A 22,868-nucleotide genomic window follows, 5' to 3' on the forward strand; every position below is an offset into this window, starting at 1 on the left:
TAATACACACGATGAATGTTTTCACGGTTATAGCTGTTGCTAGTATTGTAGTGGCTGGAGAGCTCTGACTAGGTCAATGTGAGACATTCATGTAAACAGCACATAAGAATTGGTTTAGATGCAGTTGGGGGGAGGATTCAGATGGCAATTGTGAGAAACTATTCCAGTGAAGGCCAAGCTAGCACTCATTGTTTTGTTCTGGCCTCATGTATACTAAGTTAAATTGTGGACATCTTTTCTGAGTGTGAGTTGGAGATGCTAGTGCCTTAACTTTTTAATTCCAGGAGTTTCAGTATAAAACATAAACCTGAGATGAGGCCAATGTAGGAATGAAATGAAGAGGAAGAGGGCAAGATGGCAGTCTTTTTGGTTCTCTTAAGTTTACCAGAATGAAAATTAATGATGAAGTATTAATAGAACTTACTACATTTTACTTGGAAGTAAATGTTAATGAAAACCAGATGATAATGAAGATTAAAAAATGCTTACTTATCCAAAGGAAGTAATTTCTACTTGTGAATTTCTATGATCTAATGAGGAACTATTTTCTAATTTGAATTGTAATAGTGTACCAAGTGAGAACATAAATGACACTAGTATAATCTGAGTCCACAGTATAGAATTTTTACTAAGCCAGTTCCAACTCAGCACAGAGCTCAGCCCATTGGTACTGATGAGTGAATCAGATGCTTTCATTATTTGAAGGGTTTTTCTATTACATACTCAGGAATTTTTATCTCCAGGTTGGTTCAGATCTGTTACAACTGCTTTCGCCTCCATATCCAGCTAATTGTCATATTTACATCTTTGATGTAATAAGATTTTTGATACTTCTGCCACTTCTAATTTTCCCACTACTATTCTTGTTATACACTGTGATTTTTATGAGTTGTTGCCATAACATTTTGGGGAGGAGAGGGTGTTATGGGCTGAATTGGCTGTATTTAGGGTTAAGGTCTTTAAAGAGTATGAGGCTATGAATGTGGGCCCTAATCCAATATGACTGGTATCCTTATAAGAAGACAAAGACACCAGGGATGCACAGCCACACAGAAAAGACCATGTGAGGACATAGTGAGAAAGTGCCCATCTATCAGCAAAACAAGGAAAAAGGCTTCAGAAATCAAACCTGCTGACATCTTGAACTTGGACTTCTAGTCCCCAAAACTGTGAGACAATAAAATTTCTGTTGTTTAAGCTACCCAGTCTGTGGCACTTTGTTGTGGCAGCCCTAGCAAACTAACAGAGAGGGGGAAGTGTTAGAGGAACTTAAGACTTGCACACATGTACAAACCTGTGCACAGGAATGTGCCCAATAATGGAATGTTCAGGGTCCCTTGTTGTTTGAGGCGTCTTACCATTCTACTTTGTATGCCTTTGGCGAGTCTGCCTACTGCTGAGAGACATTAGTACATCACTAAACTTGTCCATTTTTTCCCCAATAAGGATAAATATTACAGCACAGGAATAATAGGCATCTAGAATTACGCCCCTTCACCAGATTATGTTTGTCCTGAAGTCCCAAAATTCTGTCTTTTAGCGATCACATTAAATGGAAGGCAGATTCACCTACACATTTCTGTGGCATTCTTGGAGATTTCAGTTGAAAAAAGTTTGTGACTTTTGATCTACTCAGTGTTTGATTATGAAAAATGAACAGTAGTAACAATTGACTGCTTTATATTAAGTTGTTATCAGAATTTAGAATGATTCTTATTTTCTTTTTGCCATTTAAAATTTAAGCCTACATGGAGTATTGTTGAGATTTATAATTGACAAATAACTGACAGTTGATTATAATCTACAGCCTCGGGATAAAATACAGTAAAATATTTTAAACACTCAGGACCCAGAACAAATACGTTTGCTGAATGATTGTAAGAATGCTTGATGTTTGGCTGCAAAGCTATGAATTTCCTTGCCTTTCCACAATTTAAAATATCTACCTTCTCACAAATCTTAAAAGTTAGACCTATCCTGCTGTTATATATAATTCATTTTCTACTAACATTGTTCTTTTTTTGTTTGTTTTTTGAGATGGAGTCTCACTCTGTTTGCCAGGCTGGAGTGCAGTGGCACAATCTCGGCTCACTGCAATCTCCGCCTCCCAGGTTCAAGCCATTCTCCTGCCTCAGCCTCCTGAGTAGCTGGGATTACAGGCGCACACTACCATGCCCAGCTAATTTTTGTATTTTTGGTAGAGATGGGATTTCACCATGTTGGCCAGCATGGTCTTGATCTCTTGACCTCGTGATCCACCCGCCTCGGCCTCCCAAAGTGCTGGGATAACAGGCGTGAGCCATTGCCCCTGGCCTAACGTCCTTCTTTTATAACATCTAAAGTAGTTAGAATTGACTTATTTCCCATAATTTTAAAATGTATTCTTTTACATGATTTTAAGTTGCATTTTCAAAAACAGTTTCTGCAGTCTAGAACTTGCAGTAGAAATGTGTTTCATGATGCCTTTTGTCATGATTTTCTCACTCTTTGTGAATCTACTTGTTGTATGTTTTGATATTTTATTTTTTTAAAATCTACTTAATACTTTATTAAGAATTTATTAGAGACCAAATGTTGAATAGGGGTTATAAAACTCAGCATTCAAATGCTTTCCCCATCTATTGGTGTAGTAATATAATCTTTAATTCAGCAGATTATTATCAAACACCTTCTATGTGTAAGTAAGAAACACAGAAATTTTAAAAAAGAGTCTTAACTACCACAGAGTTAATTGCCTCACTTTTCAAAAAGGGAAACTGAAGTGCTTGTTTGTCCACCTTCTTTGTGGCAGAATAGTCCCTTCACTGTGAGTGACTTAACCCATTTTCACTGTGCCTTCCACTTTGTGTAGTCCTAATGGAAGAATTGATTACTTTTGAAATGAAAGGAAAAGTAAACCAGTAAAGTTAAGGACTTAATGAATGATTTTTTTTTTCTATTAACTGATGAATAATCACTAAAACTTTCAGCTGTGGGGAATTGTGTTTTTGGCAGAGACAGGGAGGCACTCTGAAGAAAACTTTCAACGATTTGCATTTTAGAAAATGTTTTGAATAACTTGCTAATACTTAAAAAAGTACTTCTGTGAAGTTTTACCTCCTCAGTGTTTGTTATTTTTATCTAATCCTATTTTTCATAGTAACTCATTGTGAAATGTTTATCTGTGCATTTAATAGGTTAACAAGGAGGAAAAAGCAGAAAAATAATGTTTTTTTTCCATAGTCAGAAGAGAGAAGAAATATGGAAGAATAGTGAGGCAGTGGCAGGCCCATTCTAATTCTTTTTTAAAAAGGTGGGCATGGAGAAAGTGGATCAAGGGTGAAATAAAAGAAGAGGAACTGGCAGATGTCACACAATAGCCGTAGGATCCATTTGCAAGCATTTGTAAAAAATGACCCCCAAGTACTGAATAATTCTTTGAGGGTTAGAATTCCCAATAGTTGGTAGAAGTAAGAACCAGAGACTTTAAAAAAAATCAAATTGAATATAACTTTTACTCCAGGATGCAATGGTGAGGAAAGTTAGGCTGAACATGCCGTATTAAAAACTTTCACTGGCAATGGCAACACATAGATACTGGGAGCATAGAGGAAGGGTTGCTAACATTACTGCTTGGGAGAATTAGGGAAAGTGTCACATGGGCATTTGAAATATGTGTATTGGTGTAAATTCTTTTTATGAAAAAGTAGGGAATTAGAGAGGAGATGGACTTACTGAAGAATATAGAGAAATACTAATTTAGGCTCTCAGTGATATACCATCTAGAGCATGAAAAAATACATAGTCAACCATGATTAGATGATTTTACCTATAAGTAAAAGACATAATTTCATATTTAGACTTGTTTTATATACTGTGAAATGAATATTTACAGACATTAAATCTAGTCGCTTTAGTTTTTTCTTCTTCTTCTTCTTTTTTTTTTTTTTTGGGACAAAGAGTCCTGCTCTGTCACCCAGGCTGGAGTGCAGTGGCGTGATCTCGGCTCACTGCAACCTCCACCTCCCGGGTTCAAGCAGTTCTCCTGCCTCAGCCTCCTGAGTAGCTGGGATTACAGGCATGCACCACCATGCCCGGCTAATTTTTTGTATTTTTAGTAGAGACGGGGTTTTACCACATGTTGGTCAGGCTGGCCTCTGACTCCTGACCTCGTGATCCGCCCACCTCAGCCTCTCAAAGTGCTGGGATTCCAGGTGTGAGCCAATGTGCCCCGGCCCACTTTAGTTTCTTTTGAGCAACTGAGTGTCATGAAATGTCAATATCATGAAAGAAAGAGAGGTAAGGAACTGCTTAAGGAATCATGGCAGGCATTACACAAATCATGTAATTTGTGAACCTTGATCTCATCTTATTTTCTCCCAAGAAAAGAAGGAAAGAAAGGAAGAAAAGACCAGAACACAGCAATAAAGATACATTTTTGGGACAGTTGGGGAAATTTTTATTATTAGGTGATATGACTCATTAATTGCAAATATGACCACAATTCTTCATCTTTGCTTATATCCATGCCCTTTGCAATGTGACTTTGCAGCTACTCCCATTAAGGGGCCATCTCTGTTTATTCACCCCACGAATCTGAGCTTGTCAACAAAAAGTGGCAGAAGTTATGGTGTGTCCGTTTGGAGCACAGGCACAAGTTCTTGCATGCTTATATTCCCTTGGGAACTATGACATTTGCTGTCCGATCTAGCCCTGGCTATCCTGGAGGGTGAAAGAGTTGGTAGAAGAAAGGTCAGTTGTCTCAGCTCAGGCCATCCTAGACCATCTTATATCCCGCCAACCCCCAAACTTGTCAGAGAGCTTAGCCTAGATCAGCAAAATTCACCACAGACATATGAGTTAACCCAGCTAGGACAGAACTACCTAGCTGGCTGGTTGATGTGTAAGCAATGATATATGATGGTTATGTTAAGCTATTGAATTTTGGGAATGATTGGTTATGTATCATTTGTAAACTGATACAGTGATATTACTGAATCATGTTATGTAGAAACCTGTTTATGAAGAAAAATGTTTTTTTGTTCTTAGAAGATACCAGCTGATGAATAGGTGTGAAATATTACGAAATATGCACTTTCTTTTAAATGGTATAGCAAAAATAAAGTGTGTGTGGTCTTGTGTGTGTGCATGTATATATATATGGAGAGAAAGAGAGAGAGAGAGATTGAGAATACAGATATGATGAACTGTTATATTGTGTTTGTTGAAAAGGACATATTTATTGTACTATTTAAACTTTTTTGTAGCTTTGAATCTTTTCAAAATAAAATGTTTGGAGCATTTCTTAATATTGGCTTACTTGGACATCATCTCCCCAACCTCACCTTTTTTTTCCTTTAAAAGCTGAATTTGAGATAGAGAAAAAAAGGGTCATAAAGATTATAGTTTGTTGCACTCTATGTAATCAAGTTTGTTTATTTGGAGATGGAGTCTCGCTCTGTCGCCCAGGCTGGAGTGCAGTGGCATGATCTCAGCTCACTACAACCTCCGCCTCCTGGGTTCAGGCGATTCTGCCACCTCAGCCTCCTGAGTAGCTGGGATTACAGGTGCCCACTGCCACACCTGGCTAATCTTTTTTGTATTTTTAATGGAGACGGGGTTTCACCATGTTGGCCAGTCTGGTCTCGAACTCCTGACGTCAAGGGATCCACCTGCCTCAGCCTCCCAAAAGTGCTGGGATTACAGGAGTGAGCCACCACACCTGGTCTTAATCAGGTTTTTGGAGGATATCTTTTCAGTGTATTTTAAGTTTCTGCCTATTAGTGCTGGTTTAGATTATGAGAGCCCAGTGGTCAGGGATTGTCTGCATTGGATTATACATAACAGGATTTCCTAAGTCCATGCCTCAGACTGCTTGTAACTATAGAATATCCATGGAGAAAGAGTTCTTTAGTCTTCCACTTGGAGAGGCACAGTGCCAAAGAGTAAGTACATTAAACATCCTGAGAGCTATATTAACAAAAGAAACCAGCATTTTCCAGACATATTGATACAAATTATCCTCTCTCCCCACAGTCAATAACATATGTTATACTTGGGGTATAGTGTTCTTAGGAATACACTTGGAGAAATGAAGATTGTCACTAGTAAATGCTTTTGATGATAGGCTTCAGTAAATTATAAATATTTTAAAATTTGGTTATAGCTTCTAAAGATGAATTATAAAATTAAAGTTTTTGATAAATTATGGCATGGCATAATGGAAAGAGTGTGTACTTTGTAGTGAGAACCAGAGGAACTTGGGTGCTCCACCAGTAGCTTTTTGACTAAGGAATTCACTACTAAGTTTTAGATTCCTATAAAATGGGATAATACTTGATTCCCAAGATTCTAACCTGAATTAAATGTGTAAAGCCTTGAGTATAGTTGGCGTTCATATTTAAAACTAGCCTTGGATTCATTTGGATGTGAGGGTTTCTCTTATATCTTGATGAGCATCTGTTATATAGAGCAGATGTGGGTCATGTTGGATCTCATAAGCTTTTGCTGGAAGGCTGCTAGGCAGATATCATTTGATTTTTATAATGTCAATATAATTATAAAATTCTATAAGGAACAATGATTCACATAAGTGAATCTCAGAAAAGTAAACTTTTCTGTAACTGAAAGTTTCTTCTTCTGTATTTTAAGTATTTTGGGGGGAAACAAAGTATACAGTTTCCTACATTATTCATGAGTGTTTTGAATATAATTTAACATCTCTGTAATTTATAATTTATTTCATTGTGATATAATATGTCTTGACAATGTAGACCTATTTATAGCTTTTGAGTTATTGACCGCTATTTTTATTTTTTGGATTTCTGTCTTTTAAATTGTTACATCTTAGCAGCTGTTGGTATGACAATTCTGTAGAAATACCTCAGTCTTTCCTTCAGTTTTCTGCTTCTAATACAGTGGAGATAGGGTAGTGTTGGTCCTAGCTTTTTAGAATTGGTGCAGAAGAAGGCATAAGCAATTGGCATAGTGTGTGATTTTTTGATACCCTCATAGAAATGGAAAATATACTGTTTACATTACGTTCCTGCAATGTCTGATATAGCTTGTAACTAATTTAATTATTTGATTTTTTTAATTTAAGTTATTCTTTAACATAATCTCATAATTTTTCATTTTGAAGCCATAAGTGTGCTTTTTATTTTTATTTATTTAATTTTGTTTTTGTTTTTGTTTTTGTTTTTTTTTTGAGATAGAGTCTCACTCTGTCACCCAGGCTGGAGCGCAGTGGCTGATCTCAGCTCCCTGCAACCTCCGCCTCCCGGCTTCAAGCAATTTTCTCCTGAGTAGCTGGGATTACAGGTATGCACCACCATGCCCAGCTAATTTTTTTGTATTTTTAGTAGAGACAGGGTTTCACCATGTTGGCCAGGCTGTTCTAGAACTCCTGACCTCAGGTGATCCACCTGCCTTGGCCTCGCAAAGTGCTGGCATTACAGCTGTGAGCCACGACGCCCAGCCAAGGGTGCTTTTTAGTAATTATCTGTTTAAGTAGTTACCAACACTTAAAAAGTTAATAGCTTTGACTTTATTTTCATTATTGTGTTTACTGGTGACATAATTAAGCTCACTAAAAAGCCTGATTTATAATATCTCAAAAAAGTATAATGTGATTTTTCAGCATTATTAATAAAATAGATGCAGAATTATTACTGTGATTTTTATTTTATATCCAATATAAGATAATAAAATATTACTGGAGGAGTTAAATGTATTGATCAGGGAAGAGTTATTTATAATTAAGCCTTTAAATTTTATGTACGTGTTTGCTCCTGTTATGTTTGGATGGCCTTTGTTTAATTTACATTTTTCTAGTACTTTCAGCTTACTTAGACATATTTTTATCATACGTTTAATATATAAAACTTGACCTCATATGTCTAGGAATGAAAAAACATTTAATGTCACATTAACCTTGCTGTAAGTTTTATGTAATTTTTACGCAGAATGTTGCTCACGTGTTCTGTATTGCCATATGTAACGGGTAAGATGTCTACACCTTCAAAAATGTTGGAGGAAAGTTTGATAAAGTTCAAGTTTGTTATGTTTTACTATATTATACACTTTTCACCACTTTTAGTCAGTAATTTATTTTGGCTACATGAACATAAATGCTGAACAATAATTCCTATATAGGGATTATATACTGTAGAAGATGCAAATCAGTATTTTCTTTTTTATCCTGAAATCAATATGAAAAATAGTTAATATTATCATTAGTACATCTTGAAGTGTTAAGTCAATTTGATTTTAAAATATTTATTTATGAATTTAGACCAGATGCGGTGGCTCACGCCTGTAATCCCAGGACTTTGGGAGGCTGAGGCGGGCGGAGCACCTCGGGTCAGGAGTTCAAGACCAGCCTGGCCAACATAGTGAAACCCCGTCTCTACTAAAAATACAAAAATTAGCCAGGCGTGGTGGCACACTCTGTAGTCTCAGTTCCTCAGGAGGCTGAGGCAGGAGAATTGCCTGAACCTGGGAGGCAGAGTTGCAGTGAGCTGAGACCATGCCACTGCACTCCAGCCTGGGCAACAGAGTGAGACTCTGTCTCAAAAAAAAAAAAAATTATGTATGTGTTTATTTTTAAAGAAGAATGTAGAAGTCTCCAAAGAGTTGGAGAGTATACTTGTTTACAGGTTTCCCTATATTAACAGAGGATTTGATAGAGGTTGGGTTGAATTTCTTCTAGGGATTTCTAGGTCAGGCAAGGTAGCATCAAGGACAGCCAATCCACTGCATGTTTAAATTCACACATGATTAAATAAATCTGTTCATGTATGATGCACCAGTATTCTTGTGTGTGGTGACCCTGTTGGCCATTTATCAAATAGTAGTATATGAAGGAGAATGCTGTTCCTATGAAAATTCATGAATTGAATTTAGTTGCAGGGATGGAAATAAAGGTATTTCCATATTGTGGACTTTGCAGTTCTTGAAGTTCATAAAGTTAAAATATCTCTTTGTTTTGACTTTGACTTTTCTGCAAAGACTTGCATATTATAATAAGTGGGTTTTCTTTTTAAAACTGTCCTTTAAATTTCTAAGTTTCTGTGACTTACTACATGGCAAATTTATTTGTATACTATTTCTAAATCCCTTCTTTTCTGTTATGTTTTTATTTTTAAAGTTTATTTTATTTTTTGTGGGTACATAGTAAGTGTATATATTTATGGGGTACATGAGATGTTTTGATACAGATATACAATCTGTAATAATCACATCATGGAACATGGAATATCTGTCACCTCAAGCATTTATCCTTTGTGTTACAAACAATCCAGTTATACTTTTTTAGTTTTCTTAAATGTACGATTAAATGATTATTGACTATAGTAACCCTGTTGTGCTATCAAAAATATTAGGCCTTATTCATTTATTCATTCAATTTTTTTGGTACCCATTAATCATCCCTACCTCCTCCCTAATCCCCCAACTACTCTTCCTAACCTCTAGTAACTATCCTTCTACTCTATCTCCATGGGCTCAATTATTTTGATTTTTGGATCTCACAAATAAGTGAGAACATGTAAAATTTGTCTTTCTTTGCCTGGATTATTTAATTTAACATAATTAACCCCAGTTCCATCCATGTTGTTACAAATGACTGAATCTCATTCTTTCTTATGGCTGAATAGTACTCCATTGTGTATGAGTACCATATTTTCTTTATCCATTCATCTGTTGATGGACACTTAGTTTGGGTTCAAATTTTGGTTATTGTGAACAGAGCTGCAACAAACATGGGAGTGCAGAAAGCTCTTTGATATTCTGATTTCCTTTCTTTTGGGTATGTACCCAGCAGTGGGATTGCTGAATTATATGGTATCTCTATTTTAAGCTTTCTGGAGGAACCTCCAAACTGTTCTCCATAGTGGTTTTATGAATTTACATTCCCAACATTAGTATGAGGGTTCCTTTTTCTCCATATCCTTGCTAGCATTTGTTATTGCCTTTTGGATAAAAACCATTTTAACTGGGGTGAGATGATATCTCTTGTTTTTATTTTCATTTGTCTGGTGATCAGTGATGCTGAGCACATTTTCATATGTCTGTTTGCAATTTGTATTTCTTCTTTTGAGAAATGTCTACTCAGATCTTTTGCCCATTTTTAAATCAGATTATTAGAGATTTTTTTCCTATAGAGTTGTTTCAGCTCCTTATATATTTTTGTTATTAATCCCTTGCCAGATGGGTAGTTTGCAAGTATTTTCTTCCATTCTGTGGGTTGTCTCTTCACTTTGTTGATTGTTTCCTTTGCTGTGCAGAAACTTTTTAACTTGATATGATTCCATTTCTTCATTTTTGATTTGGTTGCCTGTGCTTGTGGGGTATTACTCAAGAAATCTTTGCCCAGACCGATGTCCTGGAGAGTTTCCCTAATGTTTTCTCGTAGTATTTTCATAGTTTGAGCTGTTAGATTTAATTCTTTAATCCATTTTGATTTGATTCTTGTATATGGCAAGAGATAGGGGTCTAGTTTTGTTCTTCTGCATATGGATATCCAGTTTTCCCAGTCCATTTATTGAAGAGACTGTCTTTTCCTCAGTGTATGTTCTTGGCACCTTTGTAAAAAATTAGTTCACTACAGGTGTGTGGATTTGTTTCTGGATCCCCTATTCTGTTTTATCGGTCTGTGTATCTGTTTTTAGGCCAGTACCATGCTGTTCTGGTTACTGTCACTCTGGTTATAATTTGAAGTCAGGTAATGTGATTCCTCCAGTATTCTTCTTTTTGCTTAGGATAGCTTTGACTATTCTGAGTCTTTTGTGGTTCCATGTAAATTTTAGGATAGTTTATTTCTGTGAAGAATGTCATTGGTATTTCGATAGGGATTGCATTGAATCTGTAGATTGCTCTGGGTAGTATGGACATTTTAACAATATTGATTCTTCTAATCCATGAACATAGAATATTTTTCCATTTTTTGGTGTCCTCTTCAATTTCTTTCATCAGTTTTTTATAGTCTTCATTGTAGAGATCTTTTACTTCTTTGGTTAAATTAATTCCTAGGTATTTAATTTTATGTGTGGCTACTGTAAATGAGATTTTTAAAAGTTTCTTTTTCAGATTGGTCATTGTTGGCATATAGAAATGCTACTGATTTTTTTATGTTGATTTTGTATTCTGTAACTTTACTGAAGTTGTTTATCAGTTCTCATAGTTTTTTGGTAGAGTCTTTAGACTTTTGCAAACATAAGATTATATCACCATCTGCAAACAAGGATAATTTTACTTCTTTATTTACAATTTGGATGCCTTTTATAGGTTTCTTTTATCTGATCACTAGCTAGGACTTCCAGCACTGTGTTGAATAACAGTGGTGAAAGTGGACATCCTTGTTGTGTTCTAGATTTTGAAGGAAAAGGCTTTCAGCTTTCTCCTATTCAGTATGATACTAGCTGTGGGTCTGTCATACATGGCTTTTATTATGTTGAGGTATGTTCCTTCTATCCTTAGTTATTTTAGGGTTTTTATCAAGAAGGGATGTTGAATTTTTTTTTGCTTTTTTTTTTTTGAGACAGAGCCTCACCCTGTCATGCAGGGAGAGTGCAGTGGCACCATCTTGGCTCACTGCAACCTCCACCTCCCGGGTTCAAGTGATTCTGGTGTCTCAACTTCCCAAGTAGCTGGATTTACAGGCATGTGTCACAATGCCCAGCTAATATTTGCATTTTTTTTAGTGGAGATGGAGTTTTGCCATGTTGAACAGGCTGGTCTTGAACTCCTCGCCTCAAGGCATCCATCTGCCATGGCCTCCCAGAGCCCTGGGATTACAGGCGTGAACCACTGTGCCTGGGCAGAGATGTTGAATTTTAGCAAATTGATGGTTTTTCAGCACCAATTGAAATGATCATACGGTTTTAGTCCTTCATTCTGTTGATATAATGTATCAATTTCCACGTATTTGTATAGTTTCCAAAATTATTCTTGTTATTAATTTCTAGTTTTACTTCATTGTGGGCAGAGAAGATAGTTGGTACTATTTCAGTTTTTCTGAATGTTTTAAGACTTGTTTTGTGACCTAACATATGATCTGTTCTTGAGAATGATGCATATGCTGAGGAAAAGAATGTATATTCTATAGCTGTTGGATGGAATGTTCTGTAAATGTCTATTAGATCCATTTGGTCTGCAGTGCAGATTAGGTCTGATGTTTCTTTGCTGGTTTTCTGTCAACAAAGTATAGCTACTCCTGCTCTTTTTTGGTTTCCATTGGCATGGAATATCTTTTTGCACCCCTTTATTTTCAGTCTGTGTGTCTTTATAGGGGAGGTGTGTTTCCTGTAGTCAGCAGATCAGTGAGTCTTGTTCTTTTATCTGTTGAACCACTCCATGTCTTTTGATTGGAGAGTGTAGTCCACTTACATACAGTGTTATTATTGATAAGTAAGGACTTGTTCCTGCCATTTTGTTATTTGTTTTCTGGTTATTTTTTGGTCTTCTCTTCCTTCCTTTCTTTCCTTCCTGTCTGTTTCTTAGTGAAGGTGATTGATTTAGCTTTTTATTTTTTGTGTATCTGTTGTATGTTTTTTTGGTTTGAGGTTACTATGAGGCTTGCAGATACTATCTTGTAACCCATTATTTTAAGATGATAGCAGCTTAACGTTATTTGCATAAACAAATCAACAAACAAGCAAAAGAAAACTAGTGAAGACTGGCTGGGTGCAGTGGCTCACGCCTGTAATCCCAGCACTTTGGGAGGCGAGGCAGGTGGATCACCTGAGGTCAGGAGTTCAAGACCAGCCTGACCAACATGGAGAAACCCCATCTCTACTAAAAATACAAAAAATTAGCCAGGCATGGTGGCACATGCCTGTAGTCCCAGCTGCTCAGGAGGCCGAGGCAGGAGAATCACTTGAACCCGGGAGGCAGAGGTTGCGGTGAGCTGAGATTACACCATTGCACTCCAGCCTGGGCAACAGGAGTAAAACTTTGTTCCCCCCCTCCGCAAAAAAAAAATTACAACAACAAAAAAAACTAGTGAAGACTGTGCCTTAACATAGTCCCCTAGCTTTTTAACTTTTTGTTATTACTATTTATGTCTTATTGTGCTGTCTGTGTCTTGAAAAAGTTATTATTTTAGCTGGGCATGGTGGCTCACACCTCTAATCCTGGCACTTTGGGAGGCCGAGGCAGGTGGATCACGAGGTCAGGAGTTCAAGACCAGCCTTGCCAACATGGTGAAACCCTGTCTCTACTAAAAATACAAAAAATTAGCTGGGTGTGGTGGCACATGCCTTAGTCCTAGCTACTTGGGAGGCTGAGGCAGGAGAATCGCTCGAACCCAGGAGATGGAGGTTGCAGTGAGCTGAGACTGTGCCATTGCACTCCAGCCTGGGTGAGAAAGTGAGACTCTTTCTCAAAAAAAAAAAAAAATTATTTTTTATTGTTTCATTGTTTAGTTTTTTTTTTTTTTTTTTTTTTGAGACGGAGTCTCACTCTGTCGCCCAGGCTACAGTGCAGTGGTGCAATCTCGCTCACTGCAAACTCTGCCTCCCGGGTTCAAGTGATTCACCTGCCTCAGCCTCCCGAGTAGTTGGAATTACAGGCGCCCACCACCATGCCCGGCTAATTTTTGTATTTTCAGTAGAGATGGGGTTTCACCATGTTGGCCAGGCTGGTTTCGAACTCCTGACCTCAGGCATTCCAGCTGCTTCGACCTCCCAAAGTGCTGGTATTACAGGCATGAGCTACTGCACCCAGCCGAGCTCCATATTTTTTTTTATGTCAACCAGATAATTTATAAGATAAATATTTGTACAACTTTGTAGGTTTGTTGCAAGCTTTAAATGTGATGATGTATAGAGGGCACAGTACTTAGCACATAGTAGATACTTAATATATTTACTTCCATTCTGTTTTTTGTTTCCTTCAACCAGATGCATTTTAAATACAAAAGGCCAAGTTTGCTATTACTATCGCGCAAAGCTTGAAACATAAATTCAACATCTATCATCTACTCCTTGTCTAAGCTTAGGCAACGTATTTGTCCTTTCTGAACCAGTGTCTTTATCTGTAAAATAAGACTTAGACTACATTAATTTAATCCTGACCTTTAAAGAAATACCAGTTATCTATGTTAAGAAGAATTTTTAAACTACAAAGAAGCAAGCCAGTGGTAAACTTTCATTAGGAAGGACTTTGATTAGCAAGAGGAGTGAAAGCAGTGGATAGCATAAAAGTAGTTACCAAGAATGGTTACCTTTTGTTTGAGTGCAGGAATAAGAGGCAAAAAAGGGGTCCCACAGAAGTGAAACAGATGATAAGATGATAGATACAGGTTTGCATTTAGAGTGCCCTTTCTCCATTTGCCAGAGCTGAAAATTTTTCTTCAGTTAAACTCCACAAACATTTTTTAAAAATATCTACTATTTTGGGTCGTTCGCTACATTTGGCACCAGCCTTGAGCTGAATGCACAGAGATAAAAACAACATGGTCCTTACTCTCCAGGGTGCTTTCCTGTCTCCTGTGATCATTGACACTCATAATGCTAAGTTACAGCAATAGGATGGAAGTGGCTCATTCTGGATTGTTTCTTCAGAGTAACAAGAAGCCCTAATTGTCAAGAGACACAGATTCTATAGTCCAAGAGCAGAGTTTTCCTGTAGGTACTTTTCAGCCTGCAAGTTAGCTCAGACTCGCCTGAGAAAGTTCTCTGCAGATAAGAGGGTGCTTGAATCTTCAGTAAGTCCTATTGTCAATTTCTGGATCTTTTCTTACTTCAAAATAACCTCAGCCCCTGCTTTAATAAAAAGGACTTTAAGCCAACAGAGTAAACTTGATAGTTGGTGTGGGGGAAGAAAATAGCCCTTTCTTTATGAGTGTTGTGATCCGGGAGCTTTATATACCCTAACTTAATCTTCAAGGCATTGGTTGAAAGAAGGAAGTGACTTGCTATGTTACACATTTATTTAGGGGTGGAGTTAGGGATTGGAACTCACGTCTGGCTCCGTTATACCACATTCCTTCTCTGGCCTTCTTATCTTAAGCCCACAACCATCTGTATCCTGTTCAGAATGGATAGTTGTGTACTAAAGGCTGATCCTGTGGTAGTGCGGTGCTTTTTCAAACTGAATGTTAAGATTTTTTTGGCATCATGACCAACATTTTCTACAAAATAAAATAGAGTAGAAATTGTCAGTGTGTGTCGCAAGCAGTACTGTTTCCTGAAGTTTTTGTTTCAGGTGTGTATGTGTCTGTGCGTGCGCATGTGTGCTTGTGCATGTGCTGAGGCTGTGTAAAATGTATCTTCTATGTGCAAATCACCACCTTTATTGAGTGTGGTACGCAGTCACAAGTTCATTATTGTGTCTTTTCTCCAGATTTTGAAAACATTCTATATTTCTTTTAGCTGCAAGGAAATATAATGTAGTAGTTCTGAGGACAGGCTCTGGAGCCAGAATATCTAGGTTTGAATCCAGGCTCTGCCATTTACTAAGTGTGTGACTTTTGGCAAGTTATTTAATGTCTCCATGCCTCTATTTTGTCTTCTGTAAAATGGGATTGTGCGAGCATTAATTGAGTTCATGTACTTAAAGTGCTAAGAATAGTGTCATCACATGGTAGCACTCCATAAAAGTTAGTTGCTATTATTATTGTTAGTATTATTGAAAGGTTTATAAACATCTGTCTTAGAGGGATTATGGAATATTGTTTTAACAACAGCCTTCCACAGAGACAGTTGATCCATTTGGTTAATTAATTTGTTGCAAACTTTGCCATTGATTTAGTGCAATACTCCTTTTTTTTTTTTTTTTTTAAGTACGCTCAGGTTGTTTGTACTTAGCCAGCATTACCAAAGACAGCTACTAAGTCATGTATCTGTTAAGAGCTATTGTGGAAAATTGTGAGCCTGTCTCTGCTAGGTCTTGGCCTATAAAGAACTGGCTGGCTTTATAGGCTGATGTAATCTTGGTCATAGGCCAGCATTGCTGGCTCATAAAATATATGTGTATGTGCTGGCCTACTGTCTTACAGAGGGCTAAATAAGCATTATACTTAGGTCTGCCTGACTCAAGTTCTGTGAGATTTGGAGGAAGATGTTGCTTGGATGATCAGGGGAGGCTTCACAATGGAAATAATGTTTTAGATTGAGGTTGAAAGATGAATGGAAGTCCAGGAAAGTAGCTAAATGAAAATAATTCCAGGCATCAGTAAGATTTCATACCCAGCTGTAAATCCCAGAAGCCTTAAAGTGGTCAAAGCAAGGCAGAAATAAGCAGAAGCAGTGAACAGAATAAACTGTAGGCTGTTACCTTTTAGGCTAACAGACACACACACACACATACTCACACACGCATGCACCTGCACGCACACACACACACACACACACACACACATTTTAAATAGACAGGGTATTGCTATGTTACCCAGGCTGGAGCGCAGTGGTTATTCACAGGTGTAATCATAGTGCACTACAGCCTCAAACTCCTGGGCTTACATGACCCTCCTGCCTCAGCCTCTCGAGTATTGGGACTACAGTTATGTGCCTCTGTGTCTTAGTTACAGATTTTTACAGGAACTTAATGGAGGAAATAAAGGTTAAATATATGGTTTAAATATGTATTAGGGAATTATTTACATTTCTTTAAATTATGTTTCTTATGTAGCCAGCCATCTCTTAGAGTGAATAGTTAGCTACATTTTATTATGATTATTGATAACATGTTCTACTGTTTATAGAATTGTGTTGTGTACCTTACCTCTTCCTTTATTTAGGCCTTAGCTCCCATGAGAAGGCACCACCTAATGGCAGCTGCTAGAATTGTAGGCAACAAATGCATTGGAAAATTCACAGAAAAAATTGACAGGAAAAGCCCAACCAGTTCACAGCATAATTAGTATAACGTAGTGATATGAGGCAGTCTTTTTTCCTAGACTCTTAAAACACTTATTAATGATGTTTATTATTTATGATTTATAAGCATTAAATGAATTCTATCTTATCCCCACTTCCAACACAACATTCTCATAAACATTAAAAGAGATGAAGTTCTCAAATGCTTAGATTGATGAATGAATTTCTTAAGGTTATGAGGTAATAAGTCTATGATTTTTTTTCTGGTGCCCTTTGTATTTCCTTATATCTAAAAGCAGTATAACAACATTGCAGAAATCTTGGGCAGTTTAGTGAGGCAAGATCTCACCCCTGATTCCCATGCTCTAATAGTTCAGAACTAGTAATGTTTTGAGAGGAGGAAATATCTTAGAATGTTTTTACATGTACTTGAGCATGCTATAAGTATAGTTTACCTAAAACTTCACCTTTTCCCGCTTAACCTTATGCCAGAAGCCCCTTTCCCTGCTGTGATATAGTTCTTACTTGTGGTATAATGTTCAGTTTTTTTTGTTTTGTTTTGTTTTGTTTTTGAGATGGAGTCTTGCTCTGTTGCCCAGGCTGTAGTGCAGTAGCGTGATCTTGGCTCACTGCAACCTCCACCTCCTGGGTTCAAGCAATTCTCCTGCCTCAGCGTCCCGAGTAGCTGGGACTACAGGCATATGCCAACACGCCTGACTAATTTTTATGTTTTTAGTAGAGATGGAGTTTCACTATGTTGGCCAGGCTGGTCTCCAACTCCTGACGTCAGGTGATCCACCAGCCTCAGCTTCCCAAAGTGCTGGGATTACAGGTGTGAGCTATTGCACCCAGCCAATGTTCAGTTTTAAGTACTATAATTAACCAAGCCATTGTTACTCACTTTTCTCTATTATAAATAGTATTGTTAAATACCTTACATATGCAACTAGTTCCATATTTTGGATTTTCTTCCTCTTTTTTTTTTTTTTTCAAAAAGCATATGATTATCGTCTGTGTTTAGATGCAGAGAAGTATTTGAGAAAAAATAGTCCCACTTTCCAAAGAATTTATTTTTGTGTACTAATTCTTGCTTGACTGAATTGTATGATTTGACCAATTCCGTGGTAGCTACTATCATCTAGTTTTTATCTTCTAATATCAAGGGATTGGGTAGACTAGCAAGTCCCTTAACTTACCTGTTTTAGACATGAAATTCTGTTTGAAAAAGCTAATTTATTGATTTTGAAAAGTTTTAAAATTACTCGGTTTCTCTTCTAGCTCTGATAATTGAAATATTTAATTTCTATAATAAACATATGTTATCTTCACTCAAGTCATATTTTCTTTTAGAAGTCCTTGATCTTAAGCAAACTTACTAATGATGTTTGAAATACCAAATGCTTTATTCATCTCCACATTTTTCAATAGAGTACTATCTCTTTTTAATGATTTTTTAATTCATCTTATAATTTTATGCAGCTGTTAACATTCCTTTTAACCAGGCAGATGCCTTGGGACTGTGGGAAATTGCAGTAGCAATTAGAGGAAAATAGGGAAGGGTGGGCTGGTCAGTCTTGGAGAGCAGGAACAATGCAGAATTTAAACATAGGAATGTCATGTGTCAATTAGGGATACAGCAAAACCCTTCTATAACACTATAAAAGGAGCCCCAAATATTCAGTTGTGTAAAATATGAGATGACATTAAACATAGGGTTATGTAATAAAATTGATTAAATAACTAGGTTGAGCCTCTTGTGGAGGTTGGGAGCCAACTGCCAGTCCTGTTTCATCCAAATTAGTATTAAGGAGTAATATGGAGGGGTTTCACTGGGCTTAATATTTCGTTTTCCTTTTAAAAATGCAATTGTATGTTAGAGATGAAATCATTGAGATTTTGATTTTAGACCTGTGTAACTGCTAAAAATAAAAGATCAGGTGAATTGAATTAACTCTATCTGGTGGTACTTGAATATGGAATGAAATCTATGGCCAGCCAGCATGGTTACCTGTTGTTTCAAAACAGCAAAGTTAGTGCTTGAAATCTGTGAAGTTCATTTAAAAAAATGAAAAAAAAAAAAAAAGGTTAGCAAAATCACTGATGTTAATGACCAGCCAAGTAGCTATTGTAATTAATGCTGATGGGTTCTGAAGACCATTGGCAAGACAGGAACCCTGAATAGATCAACCATAAGTTTGCCAAATATGGACTATTTATTTTTACTAGAGACTTTGTGGAGACCAGGACTTGAGACACTGTTTTTGTATGAGGGTAGTAGCCAGTGTTACCAACCACTTGCTATGTGCCAGGTGAACTCTTATAAGCACTTTGTATTAACTCATATGACTCTCTCACAAGATCAGCAATTGCAAGAGCCTTCCTTTTTTCTTCTCTTCCTCACTTGGTTTTTGTGTGGGAATCTCAAGTAATTATTTTGGGACACACTTTTGGCAAGGGGTGGGAGGTACTATAGACTTAGTGGTAAGAGGAGTTAAACATTGTAGCAGAGTCAGTGCTGAGTTTTTGGTAACTAGTTTCAAGTGTTAGGTATCTTCTAATAAGGACATTTAACTCTGGTTCATGGTAATTCTAAATATCTTATTAAATCAACATATATTTCATGGCTAATCCATACATCAGGTAATCTACCTTGCCAGAGTTGACTATATAATAAAAAATAAATTATTTATATTTTGTATTGTATGAGCATCTAATTTAGTTTTCCTCTTCAGATTTATACTCTTTTGAAAACTCTTCAAAAGAGTACTCTTTTGAATACTCTTCAAAAGAGTATTATGTATATTTATTATGTATGATGAAAGGTATATGAAAGGAATGTATTGTGAAACTAATATCGGTTTATTACACTTCCTGTAAGAACTAGCATGACCACTCTTTTACTCTAAATATGCCAACCGCCTTGGCTATTCAGGTTTCAGTAGTAGTTAAAATTCTATAAGAATTTCATTTGTTTTTAGATGCAAGGAAAGCCCTTCTGAATGTACCTTCAACAGAAATATCAGCCATTTGTTTAGGAATACTGATATGATGTAATCTGTCTAGATTTTCTGACATAGTTTGATATTTATGTTTTGAAGATCCTGAATTGCATGTAGTTTGTCCTAAATGTTTTGTTTTGAACACAATGTATTTAGCTTTGATTTTTTTTTTGAGACAGAATTTTGCTCTGGTTGCCCAGTCTGGAATGCAGTGGCAGAATTACAGTTCACTGCAGCCTCGACATCCCAAGCTCAAGTGATTCTCCCACTTGGGCCTCTCAGGTAGCTGGGACTATAGGTGCACACCACCTTCCTGGTTAATTAAAAAAAAATTTTTTTTTTTTTAGAGATAGGGTTTTGCCATGTTGCCCACGCTGGTCTTGAACTCCTCGGCTCAAACAATCCACCCGCCTCAGCCTCCTAAAGTGCTGAGATTAGAGGCATGAGCCACTGCACCCAGCCCACGTTGATTCTTTAAAACAATTTTTTTTCTTTGATTCCTAAATACCCACTTCTTGACAAAAGTTTATTTCTCTGTTCTGCGTTATCTGTCAGCCATCTGTATTATTTATATAGATACATTTTAATTCCTCTATAGGGAAAGCAGGTTGGGTGGCTCCACAGCGATATCATTTTCAAGTTAGTAAGCCTAGTTTTGTTGTCCTTTTCTTACTTATTCCCATCCTTACCTCTTTCCCATAGCTGGATTATTAATTTTTCTTACCCTGATACTTACTGTCATAATTTGGTGTATTCTTTTTTTTTTTTTCTTCTTTTTCTGTTTTTGAGATGGAATCTAGCTCCGTCGCCTGGGCTGGAGAGTGTGGTGGTGTGCTCTTGGCTCACTGTAACCTCTGCCTCTCAGGTTCAAGCGATTCTCCTGCCTCAGCCTCCCGAGGAGCTGGGATTACCGGTGCCCGCCACCATGCCCAGTTAATTTTTGTATTTTTAATAGAGACAGGGTTTCATTGTGTTGGCCAGGCTGGTCTCGAACTCCTGACCTTGTAACCTACCCTCCTTGGCCTCCCTAAGTACTGGGATTACAGGCGTGAGCCACCATGCCAGGCCAATTCTGTGTATTCTTATGCTACACTATCCTCATCACTAAGCAAGATGTATTGAACTTTTCTTATAATTTGGCCTGGCATAATTTATCATATCGAATTTATTCTTAGCCCTTCTCTACTCTTCCACTCTCTCTCTTCTACCTCCTTTCTGTCTTCCTCCCCCACTTTTCCTCTCTCATGCTTTTTCCTTTACCCATTCTCCTCCTCCTTCATCTCACTTAACACAAATATTAATCCAGAGCATATTCCTGTAAAGTTTTATAGAAATATTGATTTATTTGGGTGTTGATTGCCAGAAATGTGTTAGTCAGTAGGAGTATAAAGCTTTTTGAGGCCGGGCGCAGTGGCTCACGCCTGTAATCCTAGCACTTCGGGAGGACGAGGCGGGTGGATCACCTGAGGTCAGGGGTTCAAGACCAGCCTGGCCAACATGGTGAAGCCCCGTCTCTACTAAAAATACAAAAATTAGCTGGGGGTGGTGGCACACACCTGTAATCCCAGCTACTTGGGAGGCTGAGGAAAGAGAATCACTTGAACCCAGGAGGCAGAGGTTGTGGTGAGCTGAGATCACGCCGTTGCACTCCAGCCTGGGCAACAAGAGCAAAATTCAGTATAAAAAAAAAAAAAAAACTTTTTGAAAGCCTTAGGAAATTATGAATTGACTCTTACTGTCCCTTAATAACATAAACTAATTGTTTTTCTTATATTTAAAAATGTCACCTGTTTTAGTTTCTTGTTTTGACTCATGAGCTTTGTGTTATTGTATTTATTGATTATGCTAATAACTTTCAGATTTTTAATGTTTTTTAGAATAATTTCTTTTTGATAGCAGAATAAAATTTTGATATTTTAGTTAGCCAACTTAAGCAAACTAGTGAGAGAGTACTTAAAACCAAGAAAAGCGAATAATTGTTTCCATTTAGCCTGAATTATGAGTTTCTATAATTCAAGAGAGAGAGATAGACACTACTTTTTTTAATGTAAATATTATAAATTGCTAATGTTGTATTGTTTGGAGAAGCAGATCAGGGCCAGATATTTTTCAAAATCATTACAGATTTTGCACTTTCAATGAATTGTTTTTTTTACTTTATTTAAAGTTATTTCTCTGACCTGTTGGTCCATATGTTTTCTCTTCATCTAGTTCAGCTCCTTCTGTTAGGATGTATCTTATGAGCTACAGGGCACACCTCTCCAGAACTCTCAGTTTAAAGTCAAATATGAGAGTCTACCTGGTAAGCTGTATGTCTATAGTTGACACTTTTCCTTCTTATTTTTCTGCTGTTTCAAATATTTAAATTATATACACTTTGCTGACCAAACATAAATTAAACTTTATTAGTTATTGCTAATTCCTACCATAATTTCTTCAAGTTATGCAACTGCATATTCCAAATTATAAATGAGCCTATCTAATATGCTTCAATAGTTCTTTATAAAAAAGAGACTAGGCCTCTTTGTTAGCAGCTAGAAGCTTTGTGACATTTGGAATCACTGGGCCTTCACTGGGCCTTCCCTGGACATCCTATTAGCTATTCGTCATTTATTTTATTACATGAACAGGGCTTGCAGAAGCAGATTTTTTTTTTTTTTTTTTTAAGAGACAGAGTCTTGCTCTGTCACCCAGACAGATTGCACTAGTGCAATAATAGCCCACTGCAGCCTTGAACTCCTGGGTTCAAGCTGTCCTCCTTCTCCAGCCTCTTGAGAAGCTAGGACTATAGGTGCAGACCACCAAGAAGCCAATCTTGAAGAAAAAAATACAAGTCAAAGCTTGGCTGAGCCGGCCATGTGGTACACCTATGACTGGCAGGTTCATGTATATGTCATTATTACTGAGTCAACTGCATTCTTTTCTTAATTCCATGAAAAGCAGTCTACTATACATACTGTCAGGGGAAATCTACTAAGAAGATGACTGTGATTGGCTATTACAGACTTGCCATGTCTCGTTTCACTGGTATTACAGGAAAAAAGAAATTTCTTTAAATAATACTTTAAGT

At 37.1% G+C, this 22,868-nt stretch overlaps 1 protein-coding gene across 5 annotated transcripts in view, besides 2 other annotated features; it reads left to right on the forward strand.

The window, feature by feature from the left end:
• The window catches only part of WDR70 (WD repeat domain 70), a 374,118-nt gene that overhangs the window by 159,048 nt on the left and 192,202 nt on the right, over positions 1–22,868 (forward strand). The gene's annotated exons all lie outside the window — the stretch shown is intronic.
• Positions 14,822–15,116: an enhancer, noted in NCBI's record as "tiled region #4193; K562 Activating DNase matched - State 5:Enh". NCBI's record gives its function as "activates a minimal TATA promoter and a strong SV40 promoter by Sharpr-MPRA in K562 cells {active_cell/tissue: K562}" and the evidence as "EXISTENCE:reporter gene assay evidence [ECO:0000049][PMID:27701403]".
• Positions 14,822–15,116: a silencer, noted in NCBI's record as "tiled region #4193; HepG2 Repressive non-DNase unmatched - State 7:EnhWF". NCBI's record gives its function as "represses a minimal TATA promoter and a strong SV40 promoter by Sharpr-MPRA in HepG2 cells {active_cell/tissue: HepG2}" and the evidence as "EXISTENCE:reporter gene assay evidence [ECO:0000049][PMID:27701403]".

The sequence above is a fragment of the Homo sapiens genome, chromosome 5 (assembly GCF_000001405.40).
Source record: "Homo sapiens chromosome 5, GRCh38.p14 Primary Assembly".
Classification (NCBI taxonomy): domain Eukaryota; kingdom Metazoa; phylum Chordata; class Mammalia; order Primates; family Hominidae; genus Homo; species Homo sapiens.